The sequence below is a fragment of the Homo sapiens genome, chromosome 2 (assembly GCF_000001405.40).
Source record: "Homo sapiens chromosome 2, GRCh38.p14 Primary Assembly".
Taxonomy (NCBI): Eukaryota; Metazoa; Chordata; class Mammalia; order Primates; family Hominidae; genus Homo; species Homo sapiens.
This window is the reverse complement of record NC_000002.12, coordinates 208335075-208353137: the sequence shown is the minus strand read 5'-3', so window position 1 is coordinate 208353137 and position 18063 is coordinate 208335075. Positions and strand designations below refer to the sequence as shown.

The window sequence follows — 18063 nt, the reverse complement described above, 5'->3', positions numbered from 1 at the left end:
TCTAGACTAACCTGAGTCTAGGAATAACTGAGTGATTTTAATGAAGTACTTAATTTCTGTATGCCTCAGCTTCTTAATCTTCAAAAAAGATGCGGGAAGTAGATCTGCCTTCTTATTCTACCAATTCTGTGATTCTAGAATATTGGATATGCTGTATTTTAAGACCACTCCACAAGAATAATTCCTCTTCATTCTTTCTCCAAGGCTGAGCAAGTCAAAAGTTAAATATGGCCTAGTAACCAAAGTTAAATATTTACTATAAAATAAGATGTTACTCTCTGATTCACTATATTTAAGAACCAAAGGTACAAAAGGTTCCAGTAGCTAAATGCTTCACATAGTCCAATACCCTTACCTGTGCCATCTTTCTCCCGTAGAAAAGATTTTCCATGACAAGGAGATCTAACTTCTTCTCAGTGTTGTTCTGAGAGTTCTTATAACCAATTCTGTAAACTCCAAGAATTTTGGCCAACGCCGTGGGCCTCTAATCAAGAGAAGGTCAAAATAAATTCTTATCAAAAAGGGTTATTTATAATTTAATACCAATATAAGGATTATCCATGTAATAACTGAACATAATTTTCTATTAATATGACCAAAGGACTTTGAAAAAAACTCAAACTCTTGAATCTCAGAAGTGAGTACAGCAGCAATGCCAATAAAAATATTAGATCCTTAACATTCTCCCAAGGAATAATCCTTCAGTTGATTAAATTCAAAAACTTCATTATGACATGTAATTTCCCCCAATACTACGTAATAAACCATGATAACTTCAAAAAAAAAACCCAAAACTATGTAACTCTTTCATGATTCTAAGATGGCAGTTGGGATGGGGTGGGGGGCACTGGTGGCTGCTCAATGACAAGTGGGCAAACCTGGGCCATTGGCTGCCTCTCTTTCTAGCTAAAGGAAGCATCCCCTTGTTTCTCAATACACGTTTCAAATTTCAGTCTCAGCAAAATTACCAACTACTGAATGTGCACCTAATTTCATCCAGTCTTAATGTCTTAAGTGATTTTTTATATAAACTAATTAAAGGCAACTTGCTCAAGATCACTTGGTTCCTCACTAACAAACGCAGGAAATATATAGTTTAAGATCTCTGAATCCTATAATACCTCAATAGCATAACAGAGATCAATTTGTGTCCTGCATATATCTTACCACAGAGAAAACTGCCATTAGGACTGTTACAGTTTGGATGTTTGCCCCTGCAAATCTCATGTTGAAATGTTATCTGCAATGTTGGAGGTGCGGCCTGGTGAGAGGTATTTGGGTCATGGGAGCAGAACCCTCATACATGGCTTGGTGCCGTCCTTGCAGTAATAAGTTCTTGCTCTGAGTTCACGCAAGATCTGGTTAGTTAAAAGAATGCAGCACTTTCCCCCACCCCCAACCCCGCTCTCTTGCTCCGTCTCTCACCATGTGACATGCTGGCTCCCCTTGCCTTCCACCATGACTGTAAGCTTCCTGAGGCCCTCACCAGAAACAGACGCCGCCAGCACTATGCTTTGTATACACAGCCTGCAGAACTATGAGCCAAATAAACCTCTTTTCTTTACAAATTACCCAGCCTCAGGTATTTCTTTATAGCAACACAAGAATAGACTAACAGAAAGATTCAGGATGTGAAAAAAGCCACCAAACTTTGATTACAGACCATGGTTTTAGATTTCTACCTTTTGTTGAACAGCATTTGTAATATAATTGAAGTAATGTGGTGCAAAGTCGAGGAAGGACTGGACTTCCAGACGAGGCATTTGCTTCAAAATAAATCTATCATCTAAAAGGCAGAAATTTTATGTGTTTACTCAATCACAATATATACTGTAATCTATAACACATCATTCCAAAGATCCTAAATGATTAGGTTGTTTTATGATTTTAAGGGGAATTTTCTAATGTCACAGTGAAAATTTTGATCAGAACACAATTCTCAATTAACTGAAGGGATCCTGTGGATTTATATAGTCAAAAACCCTCTACTTTTGTCAATAACACATCTAAGTTCAGTTCTAGAAGATCTACTTTTTAAAACTACTAAATAAAACTTTATAAACACCTCTGTTAAAACTAGTAAGTCATAGTTATGAAAGTTCTTATTAAGCAATATCCTTCCTGCTGCATTTTCTGAGGTAAAGAGATGAAGACTACTGAACCAATCAATAAACGATGAGAAAGGCTCACCCTCAGTTGCATAGAAGGCAGCTCCTGATTTGCCTCCCCGGGCCTGCCAGGGTGATGAGTGGGAGAGGGAACGAATGAAATCTTCTTCACTGCTGTCCAGAATCACTTCACGCATCTTATGAAACTCTCCCGCATAGTAGAGCCGACAGTAAAACTTGGCATTAGCATCTGAAAATTCTATAAACAACAGAAGTTTTTTTAAAAAGCTTTATGACTCAGAAAATATCTTTCCTCCTCCGCTCCCTCACTCCCTACCCTGGCCAAATGCAACCACTTAAGTTTCTTCATGATGGCATTTTGCATGTTAGATCCAAATCCCTATTTATCACAATTTTGTTAAACTGATCTTCAGGGGGAATTAAAGAACATCGTATGACCATCCTTACATACTTTCCAAAAAAAGAGAAAAAAATAAAAATCACATAAAAAAAAGACTCAGTTCTAATTTTACACTTGTTACCTACCATATTAACATCATTGTACTTTTATAGTAATTCTTAATAAATATCTTAAAATGTACTGTACATATTATTCTGGATAATACGTTTCTGGCACACATATACACAATTCTAAATGCAACTGTCAAAATTCTGTGGCTCTAGATTACATAATAAGTAAATGTTTAACTATTAGAAATAAGAGCATAATTTACAAATAAATTATACTTTTGATTAAATTTCTTTATAAATTAAATTTATATTTTATAAACTGTTGATTAAATATACCTCATGTCAGCATAAAGACTTAATATTCATTTCAAGAACTGGGACATTTATTTAGTATGAAGCTAGAATTCTCAAATAATAGAGATGGCTCAACTGTAGTCCCTCTCCCCAAACCAATGATATAATATCTCATACTTACGAAGTTCCACATGAGGATTTATGAGTTGCTTCTTTTGTGTATCTCCTCCATCTACTTCATCTAAAAGGTTTAATATCATTAGTAAAGCCAAGGTTTTGAGTAATTATCAGTTCATTTTGTCCTTTCCTTTTTCCTTGATGTAACAAAAAAACTTAGCAAATTAAAAGTAAAAATATCCTACTCAAGTCACTATCAAGCAAGCATAAGATATACAATTAAACTGTCTAAATGATCACAATAAAAATGTATGTTTTTTGGAATTTCAGTTTTTAAATTAGAAAAATAGAGAATTTAGGTTGAATACTTTTTCTTACAACTGAATGATTCCTACAGTGGCAATATAGTAACTCAGTTCTTATACCAAGAACTTCCATGGCTTCTTTATTATGACTATTTTCCCCATGTGTGTAGAATAATGTTTCCCCAATAGTTTGCAATGCTTTATCATGTACTAAGCTATATAAAATATGCATAAAATATTATTTTATAAAACATAATTTTAAAACATAAAATTATATACTAGTTACATAATATATAACTTTATTAGCCTATAACATATATAATTATATAACATACATAATTAACATATAATACAATTATATATTAATATACTTAAAACATATTTTTATACATAAAATATACTAGAATCTATGTCAGAGCTATTTTTTTATATGTGACTGACTTGCTTTGCAAGCCTACTACTTTCTGTTTAATTATTAGAGATTTAAAATACATCTTAATATCTAGAAGAACAAATAGTCCCCTAAGTTTCACATTTCAAAATAATTTTTGAAGCATCTATGCCTTCCAAGGATCCCATTATAAACAGCTACAGCCCAATAGCAAGCAGCCTATAGAATACTAAACAGATATCTTAATTACTAGTCAAAATTTATTACAGCAGTTGGTTTTTTTGTTTGTTTGAGATAGAGTCTTGCTGTCACCCAGGCAGGAGTGCAATGGCGCAATCTCGGCTCACTGCAACCTATACCTCCTGGGTTCATGCAGTTCTCGTGCCTCAGCCTCCCAAGTAGTTGAGATTACAGGCATGCGCCACCAGGCCCGGCTAATTTTTTTATTTTCAGTAGAGATGGGGTTTCTCTATGTCGGCCAGGCTCATCTCCAACTCCTAGTCTCAAGTGATCCGCCCGCCTCAGCCTCCCAAAGTGCTGGGATTACCATACTGGGCCCAGCAGTTGCTATTTTTTAAAACTACTAATTCACGGACTAACCCAGAGGTCACCAAACTATTTCTATATAGAGACAGAGCAAATATTTCACTCTGAAAAAGTTCCAACTACTCAACTTGCCAATATAAAGTGAAAGCAACCAGATGATAAGTAAATGAATGGGTCTGTTTCCCAATAAACGTTAATTTACAAAAACAGGTCATCAGAGTCTGCCTATTCCTGATCTAAACCCATACCCAAACACAATGAGGTAGATACACACACACACACACACACACACACACACACACACACTTTTTTTTTTTTGGTAGAGACAGAGGTCTCATTTTATTGCCCAGGCTGGTCTCAAACTGCTGGCTTCAAGTGATCCTGCCGTCTCAGCCTCCCAAAGTGATGGGATTATAGACATGGGCCATCTCACCCAGCATTAGACATAATTTTTAAATGTCAAAATGAAAGGGGACATAAATAGCTGCAACTTTACAGGGACTTGAAAAGAAAGAAAACATTTGAGGGAGTAGTGGAATGAAAACATTTGAGTATATAATATGAGTTACATATTAAGACAAATGTTTTTACATGTGGAATGTCACATCAACCTTGGAAGACATTGTTTTTGCCACTTTACACGTTATGGAAACTAAAGATTTCTGATTCTACCACACAGTACACGATGGCAGTGAAATCTGAAAGTAGTTGGACTCTCCCAGTGCCATGCTTTTTCCACTCTACCACACTGACAAGTGAGAACAGAGGGAATGCCCCAGTTTCAGCACTAAGAATTATCTATTTAAGGCTATAAGAAATATATGCAACTAAAATAAATAAATCAAAGCATAGAATAAGCACATTTACTCTTCTTTAACACACCTTGAGGCTCAACGCCTTGATTCTCGGTCCCCTCCTTGCCCGTCTGCCCAACCTGGTAGTAAGCACTATCTGCTCCACGTAAGGTCTCTCTCTTCTGGGAAGAGAGATCGGGGCTTTTCCCTGCTGTCCCTCTGAAGAAGGACAACATTCCAGAAGCCTTTTTGGCTAAAAATAAGAAGTAACATATTAATTTTAAGTACAGGTCACTACAGATGAAAAATAAAAATTTTCAGCTCATTTCTTTGTTAGTTGTAACCACTATATGAAGCTAATCAATCTGAGTAATGCAAATACTTTTGTTTGCACATTGTCCTTCATGTTGTTACTTATTGTTTCACATGTTGTTTTTGCGTAATCAAGCACCCTTTTTAACAAAAACCCCTATTAATAAAAACATAAAAAAAGATAGAAGGTTAACACTCAGCTAGATTAATATAAAAATATAGGGAATTATCTAGAAAGCCTTTCAAAAATATCTTTCAAAGGCAGTCACAGCTTAAGCAACAAGATTATATTAGGGCTGAGTTCTTACAGTATTGCAATATAGTTAACTAAATGAACACAAAACAATTTCACAAGCTACAAGAATTCAGTTAAAGGTAACATCTTTGTGTCATTTGTGTTCCTACAGTTTAACACAGGAAAATATAAGATTTCCTTTTTAGCATCTTTCAAAAAATAAAAAAGGCCATCAAACAGCCAAGAATTTACTAAAGCTTGCTCTATACTTTTACTCCTAGTTTTGAGCTTCATTCATCATACTATTAATATGATTCTAATTCTTGCAAATTTACCATTTACAAAACTCACAGAAAATGTCAATCATAAATGTGCTTACTTGGGTAACAGACACTAGTATTGCCTCTTTAATATCCACTCCTACCTGGTTCCCCACCAACAGAATGCCAACTTAGGGGAAGAGGGGAGCGGGGTGGGGTGTGTAACTATGTGTACAGCACCAGGAAAGGATCATGATTTGTATAACCCAACCGGGACAATGCTGCTCCCTACTTTCTCTGTCTCTTTCAGTCAGGAGTGGCCATGAGCCTCAGTTCTGACCAATGAGACTGACTAAAGGAGGAGCCTCTGCTTTCCTAATGAAAGAGAACAGCGGCAGCTTGCAACACCCTTGTTTCTACCTCAAATGCAAACAAAAATGAAACACTTTTAACCATGAGGAAAACGTAAAGGAATCATAGAGAAACTATTCCCCTAATGTTATAACAATGCTGAGCAGCTAAACAAATGCCAGCAACTGCCAACCTCCAGGTTTGGTTATTTTAGAAAAATAAGCTGTCATTTGTTTAAATCCTTACAGTTGAATTTTGTGTTACTTGTAGCTGAATGTGTTCCTGACAAAGTCAGAGAAACACAAATTCAAATCCCAGCTCCAGCACTGTCAAATCTTGAACAAGTTACTAAATCTAAATTTTAAGTTCCTTCTTGAAAAATAAGGATATGTCAAATAATTCTTATGTGGTTACTAGGGGGATTAAAGGAGGGAATGTATGAAAATTTATTTTCATAGTGCCAGTAATACTGTAAAACTAGAAAGGAAAAAAACGTATCTTGCATCTTAGGTTGTATATTTTAAACTGAAAGCTCTTCTAGGAAGCAGATTCTCCTTTTTGCATAGACCAAAGAGCTTCTAAAAGTTTCTAATTCAATACCTTGAACTTACACTTGAGACAAGAATCAACGAAGAAAAGCAAAACACGTATAAAGAGGGCATACAAAAATATCTAAATTTGTATTTCAGAGATCATAAGTAGTAAATCATTGCCAGATAGTACTTATTTGTTTTTATGTATTTTCTTTTTCAAACCATAATTATAGGTAAATCTAATTATAAATATTCCTCCATGTGTAATCTTACTTGGTTGTGGTTCTGTTTCTGTTGTACGATTTGTCTGTCCTCCACTCATTTCAGGTAATCTGATAGGGCTGCTACTCTTTGGTCTGCTATCTGAAGTACTAAAATGAAAAGAAAAAAAAAGAAAAATTTAGTTTTATACAAGTCAAACAGAAAATAGTAAGTACTCTACACTAATTACGCTGTACACTGATTTACTTCCTACCTAAGCCCACCTACAATATCAAAAGTCTGATTCATAATTTACATAAACACAGGCTAGAACACAGAAAAAAAAGTCTGAAATATCTACTGGACTTAAAGTGAAATGCTGTAACTATAAAAATGTATGGAGGAATACATTATGTTTCCCAAGTCCATTAACACTATATCAGCACCCATAAATCAAACAACTACAGAAAATATCAATTCCTTTCTCTCACACTAGTTATCACAATGACAATTCAGATAAAACTATAATGTTAGTAGAGATGGAAACTCTATTTCAGTAAGAATCACAATAATGAGCATGTGACAATTTCTGTCTAAAAGTCTAAAATACTGAACTTGCCAAAATAACTGGTTTGGGTTTGGTTTTTGAAGTATTAGGACCTTTATTTATTATAAACAATTCACAGATACTTTGAATTGCCAAGTCAAGCAGGAGCTTACCAATTTTACAAGTTATTATTTTTTAAATAAAAACACCTTTTCATTTTTTTCAAAAATGTCCTTAAATCTGCAATATACATTTAACTGCTATTGCAATTATCATAAAACTGCATCCTGAGGGACTGTTTAAGTTCTTTTGCTATATTTGAGCTTTGTTGTCTCAATTATTGGCTGAAATATGAGTGCCACTATCTGAATCCTAGAAATTTTTATGATGATAAATGCTGTAATAAAACTGAAGTACAAGCATATAGAAAATGATAACATAACTAAATTAAAATAGTTTCTACTCAATCATGAATCACCTATTTGTTGGAAGCCCTTCTTCGGCACTGTTCCACTGAGTCGCTTTAGACAATTCCTCTAAGGCATTTCGGTATTCTTTACAACTTAGGGCAGAAATAGGTTGAAAAACGTTAAACATTAACTTCTTCTTTAAAAGTAAATCATAAGCTTTAGAGTAAGTTTTGCATTATAGAAGCACAATCATTATACGTTTCCATAATTAAATAATTTTGGTTAACTGACAAAAGCAATCAAGTAGAAGCTTCATGAGGAAGGTCAATGTCTTCATAGAAGGTAATACAAAATATGACCCACTGACTCATCAACCAGTATCAATACCCTCAACAAAGATTTTAAAAGCCTACTTACTAATATTTAGATCAAATGACTTCAGGGATTGAACAGGTAAAAGTTTGAAGCCTCAGTGTTGAGTACAATAGAGAAAAAAAGAACTTGAGAGTGCTTTTCTACTTAACATACTAAACTTTAAGGGGAAAAAAATGTTTAATGTTCTATTAACCAAAAAGAAAAAAAAAAAACCTGACTCTTAGGTTAGCAGTTTAGGAACCCTGCTTTAGATAAATGTCATGCAACAAGAGAGGCATGTTAGGATGTATTGTTTTTCTAAGACATTGAAAAAAGATGATCTCAGCTAGAATCCTTACTTCCTAATAGTACAAAAAATACTTTTGATTTGGTTGACTCTCTTACCTTTCTTACCTATTAATATATTATGACTATTAAATAAAGTGAGAAGCTTATATTATGTTCACAAAGGCCAAAGGCAAAGGCTAAAAATGTTATCATATGGAATCTTATAAAGGAAAAAAATTCCTCATTATCTACACAGTAAACTCTAAACTGCATAAAGGCAGAGGCATGTAAATCTATCTTATTTACTCCTGTACATCCAATATCTAGTATATCACATTTTGTAAACATTCAAATATTTGTTGAATAAATGGACTCCCTGGAACCACCATCTAACAAGAAAAATTAAAAACTGTAATGCCTTCCAGTGGGAAAAAATTGCTTTAAACATCTTAGATTCTATTTAAACTAAGTTCAGCTACCACCAAGATGTTCTTAAGATTTAAGGCTGGGTGCGGTGGCTCACGCCTGTAAGCCCGGCACTTTGGGAGGCCGAGGCGGGTGGATCACGAGGTCAGGAGATGGAGACCATCCCGGCCAACATGGTGAAATCCTGTCTCTACTTAAAATACAAAAAAAATTAGCCGGGCATGGTGGCGGGCTACTTGGGAGGCTGAGGCAGGAGAACGGCGTGAAACCCGGAGGCGGAGCTTGCAGTGAGCCGAGATCACACCACTGCACTCCAGCCTGGGCAACTGAGAAAGACTCTGTCTCAAAAAAAAAAAAAAAAGTTTAAAAGCTTTGCCCTTTTAGACATACTATATATTTTTACAGTGGATATAGCTTTAAGATATATGATAACTGTATAAACTAAAAAGTCAGAAATGTCTACGGAATAAGGCATAAGAACAGCATTGCAGTAGTCCCTCCTCATCCATAGTTTCACTTTCCATGGTTTCAATTACCCACAGTCAACTGCAGTCCAAAAACATTAACATATTTAGAAAGAGAGACAGCACATTCACATAACTTTTGTTGTAGTATATTATTATAAAACTGTCCTATCTTATTGTTGTTGTTCATCTCTTACTGTGGCTAGGCTAATTTATAAATTTAACTTTATCATAGGTATGTATGTACAGGAAAAAACATAGCATTTATAGGGTTCAGTACTATCTGTAGGTTCGGACATCCACAGGGGTTCTTAGAACATATCCTCAATGGGTAAGAGGTGACTGCTGTTTTCTAAGTAGAAAAATTTTACCTCGTATGTAGGGTAGTAGAAAATGAGTGAATGGTACAAAAAAGATATTCAGATTGTACAAGGCAGGATGCTCCAAGTACTATGTCAACAAGTAAACTGAGAGAAGGGATACAAGGGAAAACATATTTTAACAGAATGGATAGAGGATTCAAGGCTCAGTAAATAACTTGCCAAGTCAATTTAGTTATTAGGAGCTTACTTAGGAATCATCCTATACTTCATTATTTGGGTTCAGAGAAGATTTTTATGCACAAAAAGAACAAGCTGCCAGGCATGGTGGCTCACGCCTGTAATTCCAGCACTTTGGGAGGCCGAGGTGGGTGGATCACCTGAGGTCAGGAGTTCAAGACCAGCCCAACCATTATGGTGAAACCCCATCTCTACTAAAAATACAAAAATTAGCTGGGCATGGTGGTGTGTGTCTGTAGTCCCAGCTACTCGGGAGGCTGAGGCAGGAGAACTGCTTGAACCCAGGAGGCAGAGGTTGCAGTGAGCCGAGATTGCACCACTGCACTCCAGCCTGGGCAACAGAGTGACATTCTGTCTCAAAAAAAAAAAAAAAAAAGAACAAGCTATCACGACTAAAGAACATATATTTTTGCTTATATTTAATCATTTTGCTTTATGTGAAAGATTCCAAAAATAAGGGATTAATAGACATACATAAAATACATAGATATCATCATAAGTCAAAGTCCCATGAATAATACCTGAGAGCAAAAGCAATGATGGAGCTGGGTTCCTTCTCGCAGACTGCAATGGGCACTCGTTCATGTTCATACATTAAGTAGTGTTTATCTGGATCACTATGCAAATTTTTAAAATACATAAGTTAACTAAGTACTCTAGAGTTAAGAATATAATTAAGAAAGCCAAAATGTATGCAGATATGATAACCTGAATCATTAGGAAAGAAAAAGATTTCAAGAGAAAGTTTTTGAAGGCAATTAGAAAATTATCAGAATTAATTAGGTTTCAAATCAGAGAGTTCTGCAATAGTCACTCCAAACAAACCTTTCCATACTGCCAAGACTCTGGCCACACTAATCTCAAAAAGAATTTAAAATGAACAGCAGAAGTCTAAAATATTTTGTTCCATTACAAGCTAGAGAGAAAAAGTCTTCTAGAAATTGTGGAGAAGACATACTACTAGTTCAATAATAAACAATGCAACACAACCACTTTACTATTATCACACAAAAAAACCCAGTGTAGCTCCATTTCAACTTAAATTTTGCTCCCCTGACTCCGACCCTAACTCACCTAGGCACTGTTAGGCACAGTCATTTTTAATTTAGGTGCTACTTACTGAACACCAAACATGCCAAGGATACAATATGAAGAAAAACTATTTTTAAGGATCTTACATGTGTAAGATGTTAACAATACAATGGCGAAAAAAAAAATTGGCACCATAGGGTTTATAGTGTAGTGGGGGTAAAGAAACAGATAATCCAATAAATAAATAAATATAATCTCTGTGGTAAGTGCTATGAGGGAATTGCTACAGAATGAATGTTTACCCTCCCAGCTCCCACAAAATTCATATGTTAAAATCCTAACCCCCAATGTTATGGTATAAGGAGGTAGGGCCTTTAGGGGGTAATTTAGGTCATGAGAGTGGAATACTCTTGAATGGGATTAGTGTCCTCATAAAAAAGACTGGACACAGCTCTCTCAGCCTCCTTCCACCACATGAGAATACAAAGAGACAACAGCAATCTACAACCCAAAAGAGGACCCTTGCCAGAACCCAACCATGCTGGCACCCTCATCTCAGACTTCTAGCCTCCAGGACTGTAAGAATTAAATTTCTGCTGTCTACAAGCAACTCAGTCTATGGTAATTCATCAGAGCAGCATGAACGGACCAAGACAGGAATCATAAGAGCATATAATAGAAACCTACTCTGACTGGAGCAGGAGGTAAGGGGGAAGGTCTAGTAAATTCTTCTTAGAAAGAACAGGACTGAATGATTAAAAAAGACTGTGTTTCACAAAAAGTGGTTTAGAGAGAAGAGAAACAAACAAAAAGAAAAAAACTATATTAAAAAAAAAAGTTTAAAGGGCCGGGTCCAGTAGCTCAGTACTTTGGGAGACAGAGGTGGGCAGATCACCTGAGGTCAGGAGTTCGAGAGCAGCCTGGCCAATATGGTGAAACCTCGTCTCTACTAAAAATACGAAAATTAGCCAGGTGTGGTGGCGCACACCTGCAGTCCCAGTTACTTGGGAAGCTGAGGCAGGAGAATCACTTGAATCTAGGAGGCAGAGGTTGCAATGAGCCAAGATCACACCACTACATTCCAGCCTGGGTGACAGAGGGAGACTCTGTCTCAAAAATAATAAAAATTAAAAAAATAAAAATAAATGTGAGAGCATGAACAAAGACCATAACATAAGAGGGATCCAAGCCCAATCAAGAAACTGATATAATCAGGTCTAAAGTAGAGAAAAAAGGGACCTTTTATATTTTACTGTCATGTAACATATCACATACTGTACTGTGAGCCCTAACTGTATCTTCCCAAAGATTATGAGCTCCTAAGAGTGATGACAGTTCCTTACAAATCTTATTCTACATCACAGGACACTTAAACAGGCACTAAATAAAAGTTTAAATACTGATTGAATAAATATGTAAGTCAGTTAATAAAATAAAAGGCCTTATTAACAAAAATGTCCACTTTTTGGATATACTTGTTCCATAACAAGGGCAGCATTTGATAGCCACATGGGTCAACCAGTGGAAGAAAAATAAACTTTCACAGCCAGCCTATATTCTTTCCAAATTTGAGTGCACCCCATAAAAAAAAGATCACATGAAAACTTGTACAAGTCACTGTAGTTCATCATCAGTGCTAGGACAATGCCATGTCCCAGCAAATCAACTACCAACCTCATATATAACCAGCAATATGTTTTTATAATTATTAAATCAGTGGATATAGCCACATATCTTTGAAAAAAGATAAACAAACAAGTGTTTCCAGAACAAGTAATTCAAACATTTATAAGTAACACTGGCTAGTGCTTTATCCACTCATCTACTATATCATAATGATTATATATTCTACAAATTACATTGTATCAAAAGACATCTCTTTTACTAAAATGAAATAAAATTTAGGATTGAAAAATCATGCATCAGATAAATATATTTAAATATGAAGCGAGCAACTAAGGAAAAATAACCCCCCTGCTAAGAGCCACTGGTTTTAATAATACTTACAAAGGAAATGGAATAGGATTATAGCTATTTCCTGGAAGCAAATTTGCAAAGATGGCTTTCATGGTTGACTTTTCCTTCACTTGGCTGTCTGTGGATCCCAGCAAATGCCCATCAAACACATCTAAAATGAAAAATAGTCTACTTATATATTAATATTCACAGAGAATAAGAAGTATAAACTGCTGACTTTGGTTCTTTTCCTTTCGGAATATGGACATATGTATACTATACCAATAACAGTTTAAAATTTCTGATCAAGGGAAAAGACCACTATGGGATAAAACAGGAAACAACAGTGAAGCATACACAGCATGGACTCCAAGGGACACTTGTTTTTTTTAAACATCTCTGAAGCACTGTGGCTATTACACCCGAGTTAAATAGCAATTTTAAAGTTAATTTCAAAGTTTATACTATAATTTAAGTAGTTACCACCTAAACAGAAAGCAAGGCATGAATCTGTTATTATGAAGCAAATATCTGTCCTTAGAGAAATGGCTGTAATTCATGTAAATCAATGATATATCTTTCAGTCTTAGATACAATGAAATATGGTAAAAGTGACTTAACCTCTACCTTCGGAACTGCTGGCTGTATCTAGCTCAGGGGGCCCTCCCACTGACTGTTCAGACATGACTTCAGGTGGCGTAGGCAATTGGAGATGAGTAGAACTGGTGGAGCTCTGGCTGGACAAAGTTGTTAAGAAGCGATCCTCTAAAGAAAAACACAATCTTAAATGAGTCATTTACATACATTAAGTCCATGTCTACCTAATATTTTTTAAATGCTCATTCATATGCCTACTTCCTAAAAGGTAGAATTTTTACTTTTTAAAAATCATCTAGGTCATATAGCTCATGTCATAGAAATGGACACAAAAATCCAGAAAGATTATATATGACTTGACTACAATCAAATCCTGGTAGCAGTACCGCAACTGTCAACCAAGACTGACTCCTATCCAACACGCTATCCATTATACCACAATGCCTACCTAAATATTAGTTTTTAGTTTAATAGAGAATGAAATTAGGACACTCTGAGAAAGACGGCATGCTTATTCTGGGAGAGAAAAAGCAATTATAATAGAAAAATGCCAAGAATTGTAAGTTGAGCTCCTGGTTCTACAGTCTATGTAAATTTCCCCACAAAGTTTCTATGATGACACCAAGTTATTCAATGAAATACTGTGAAAGACATCTTAGGTCTAGACAATATTTTAGTGACATTAAAAATGTAAATTAAACTTTATAAGATTTTTGCAATGAAACCTGGGGATTGACTTTGTAATAAGCAAAAAAAATTCAATTTACTTTTTTCTGTTTTTTCTTCCCCTAATAGCAGCCTTCTTTATATTTCATGTATTTCTATAACCTGATTTATCTTATTGCAATACACTATATGATAATCTTAATCTGATAGGATTACAAGTGCTCTACAGGAAGGAAAAGAAGTCTATGAACAACAGCATCGGAAAAACTGCTCAAACAGTTTAAAACAACTTATACAATAAGAAATTTCTTTAAATCCTACGGCAAGTGATCACCAGACTCAAGAACCAACCTTTTTCTCCATTCTGAAGTCCTGGAGAAATATTCCGTGGAGATGCATCCATCGCACTTATCTGTAGAGAAGTAAATACTTTGTTCTTATGGAAAACATGAAAATCACATTCAAAAAATTTTTTAATCCAGTGAATCTTAAACTTTTTGGTCTCAGGACCCATTTATACCGTTAAAAAATTACTAAAAACCCCCTTAATATTTTTAATTAGCTTTTGTTTACCTTAGAAATTTTTACCTTATTAGAAATTAAAACAGAGAAAGTTATTAAATGTGCATGAACTCATTTATAAATAATAAACCCATTAATATAAGTAACATTTAAACACGTAACATACCGATTTTCTAAAATTTAAAAAAAAAATTGGTGAAAGAGTAGCACTGCTTTACATTTTGAAAAATATCTTTAATGTCTAGCTAAATAGAAAATAGCTAGATTCATATTTGGCTTCTGCATGTAATCTGTTGAGATACACCATTATGATTGAAGTATATGAAGAAAATCTAGCTTCATACAGATATGCAATCGAAAAAAAAAATAAAAATGAGCCAGGTGTGGTGGCTTACGCCTGTAATCCCAAAACTTCGGGAGGCCAAGGTGGATGGATCACCTGAGGTCAGGAGTTTAAGATCAGTCTGGCCAACATGGAGAAACCCCATCTCTACTAAAAATACAAAAAATTACCTGGGTGTGGTGGCACACGCCTGTAATCCCAGCTACTCGAGAGGCTGAGGAAGGAGAATTGCTTGAACTCGGAAGGCAGAGGTTGCAGTGAGCCGCGATCGCACCACTGCACTCCAGCATGCACGACAGAGTGAGACTCCATCTCTCAAAAAAAAAAATTTTTGCAGAGTCCCTGAAAAGGTCTTGGACTATCAGGAGTCCTTGAACCACACTTTGAGAATTGCATTCTAAATAGTAGCTCGCTTCCTGGAATTAAGCATCTAGGTATAGATATATCTATCTATCTAGATAGATAGATCGATAGACAGATAGATATATCTAGATAGATTGATATATATCTAGATAGATCTATAGATAGATATAGATCTATACAAGATTATTAGGTGTAAGGGATAATCCTAAGTATTATATCTATATATATCTATATAGATGTATCTGTCTATAAATATCTATATAGATATATCTATCTATAAATTTGTGGTTTTGGCCACTATGTTTGGGATAATCTGTCACTGAGCAAGAGAAAACTAACACAGTTGAAAAAGAACTTACGCAGTTCAAATACCTTAAGAAAAACCTCTTATTTAAGCACGGAGATTTTAAAAACAACCAAAACTGCGGAGTATAAAATAAATGAGCACCCTATTATACTCAGAGCATCCACTGACTTTCCTCTGTAGCACTTGCTGTCACCATGATGCTACCCTCAGTGATGCAGCAAACTGTAGCTTTTATAAACATTTCAAATAAATAAATTATAAGTGATCATTTTATTTCAGGTTATAACATAAAAGTAATCCAGGTCATAGTTCCTTGAAACCTCACAAATTCAAAATGGAAAACCCTACTGGATATCATTACTAAAGTACATATTAAACTATCCCTGCTAAGTATTATAAATGAAACTAACTATATTTCTATTGATTAAGGACCAAAGACAAGACTACATTTCATACCTTGCTTTCTTCCCCTTGTCTCAGTCTTCCAGGACTTGGAGGAACTGAAGGTCTCTTTCTACCCTTTTCCTGTTGGAAAAGGTCCTGCAACCTGTGGCCAAAAGCAAAAAATATATATATATATGGTTTGTTTCTAGCCCCTTGAGTGCTGTTTATAAATTTTCTCTTTACAACTTTGAAATCACAAAGTTTTCCTATTTGGATTACCATAGTCTTTAAAGTTATATATAAATAAGAGTAAGTTTTTGTCATATCTAATTAACCAGGAGCATTTGTTGATCTCACTATAGTTGTAAAAAAAAAATAGCAAATTATTATAAAGAAAAATACTTCTAAAAAATAAATGTTTAAATAAAGGCATAAGATAAACATATCAATATACAATATATTTGAAATTGCTGGCCAAAAACCAATAGTGACTTATGGCATACTAATTCAGTTAAAAACAATTCAACAGCACACACATCTGAACAACATTGTTTCAAATTATATTAGAAACAGCATCAAAGGCTGTTCTCCTCTTTGGTTTTTACATCTTCACAAGCTACCTAAAATATACCACATATATTTTAAAATATAAAGAGGAAAGGAGAGTGACAGGAAACAAAAGGCTCTTTAACTTGAGCACAAAATGAAACATCCATAATTAAAAATTTTTAAGTTTTAAGATATCACATTAGAACAAATGTGGCAATAATATTAAAGAAAACCAGACTGCAAAATCACACCTGTTATTCCAAGCTTGCAGCACTTCACAGAGACTTTGTTTCTTGGCAATGAGTGACTCAAAGACCGACTGCAGTTGCTGAGGGGTATCTACAGAGGAAGACATGAGCCTTGCTTGCATCTTCTCAATCCAGTTCTTGAACTCACCTTCTTCCATCTACAAGGAACAGAAACAACTTCAGGAGACAGACACTATACAGACATACCCCAAAAGAAACTGCTATTATTAATTTTTGATTTTTAATCAATAATTTTTAATCAATAATTAACTTTTGAATTTTCTACCAAAGAAATAAATTACCTCTTTCTGTGCAAAAATATCTTCCATTTTTTCCTCTCTTGTTTTACTAAATGTATCAGTTTTCAAAGATGCAAGTCTTTCATCAATGGCAACATATACCTGTGAAACTCTAACAATAGCGAGAGCATTAAACACTTTAGAAAGGGTGAATCAAATTTTCTATCTCACATAAATAGAAAAAAAAGCTACATGCAAAATGTAATTGAAATTATGTTTTACCTAATTAAGAATTACATACAGTTTTGCAGAGTAAATAAGACCTAAAAGGATGTACTTCAAAATTTTAAGTTGTTATGTCTAAAAGAGTTTGGCTTCTTTTTTATTATCTTTCCATAGCGTCTACAATTTTCTTTTTGTACACCAAGCATGCATAGCATACAATTAGAAAATTTACATTTTCAAAGAAAATAAAATGAATAAATCTGATACTTTAAAATAGCTGTAAATAAACAAAAAAAGATGATAAAAGAAACTGAACTTACTTTTGAAAGAAGTCCTTCAGATCCTGAAGAAGGGACACTTTTAATGGGGCCTGACGCTTAATGAATATTTTGGGGAGTGGAACACATACTTCAAGAAGCCGAATGGGAGAATAACTGAGAAGAAAATACAAGGACCAATAGAAAATGAAAAATAGCTTAATATCTTGAATAGAGCTGTATCATGATGTTCAACTATATTCTATGAGGCATAAGAGGAAAAGTTTCTATAAAATCGTATTTTAAAACAATCACAAAAATAATTTTTAGCTGTTACAATAAATATCCTCCCCAATTCTGGAGGGATTTTGTTTTATCTTTCATTATGCTGTAGTACCATCATTTATC

The 18063-nt window shown here is 34.7% G+C and overlaps 1 protein-coding gene across 39 annotated transcripts in view; it reads right to left on the bottom strand.

Annotated features, from left to right (window-relative positions):
* The window catches only part of PIKFYVE (phosphoinositide kinase, FYVE-type zinc finger containing), a 92691-nt gene that overhangs the window by 5609 nt on the left and 69019 nt on the right, over nucleotides 1-18063 (bottom strand). For 27 of the 39 annotated variants that reach the window (XM_011510779.3, XM_047443667.1, XM_047443672.1 and 24 more), the window contains 15 exons: nucleotides 17719-17832; nucleotides 17237-17345; nucleotides 16938-17092; nucleotides 16210-16300; nucleotides 14570-14630; nucleotides 13583-13720; nucleotides 13007-13127; nucleotides 10489-10584; nucleotides 7944-8027; nucleotides 6991-7088; nucleotides 5115-5279; nucleotides 3055-3114; nucleotides 2191-2367; nucleotides 1683-1786; nucleotides 356-484 (listed from right to left, as the gene is read on the bottom strand). In XM_011510779.3, coding sequence (XP_011509081.1) covers nucleotides 356-484; nucleotides 1683-1786; nucleotides 2191-2367; nucleotides 3055-3114; nucleotides 5115-5279; nucleotides 6991-7088; nucleotides 7944-8027; nucleotides 10489-10584; nucleotides 13007-13127; nucleotides 13583-13720; nucleotides 14570-14630; nucleotides 16210-16300; nucleotides 16938-17092; nucleotides 17237-17345; nucleotides 17719-17832 — 1702 coding nt within the window. Of the gene's footprint in view, nucleotides 1-355; nucleotides 485-1682; nucleotides 1787-2190; nucleotides 2368-3054; nucleotides 3115-5114; nucleotides 5280-6990; nucleotides 7089-7943; nucleotides 8028-10488; nucleotides 10585-13006; nucleotides 13128-13582; nucleotides 13721-14569; nucleotides 14631-16209; nucleotides 16301-16937; nucleotides 17093-17236; nucleotides 17346-17718; nucleotides 17833-18063 lie in introns of those variants that run through there. The other 12 variants (XM_011510782.4, XM_047443670.1, XM_047443677.1 and 9 more) reach the window with 3 other exon arrangements.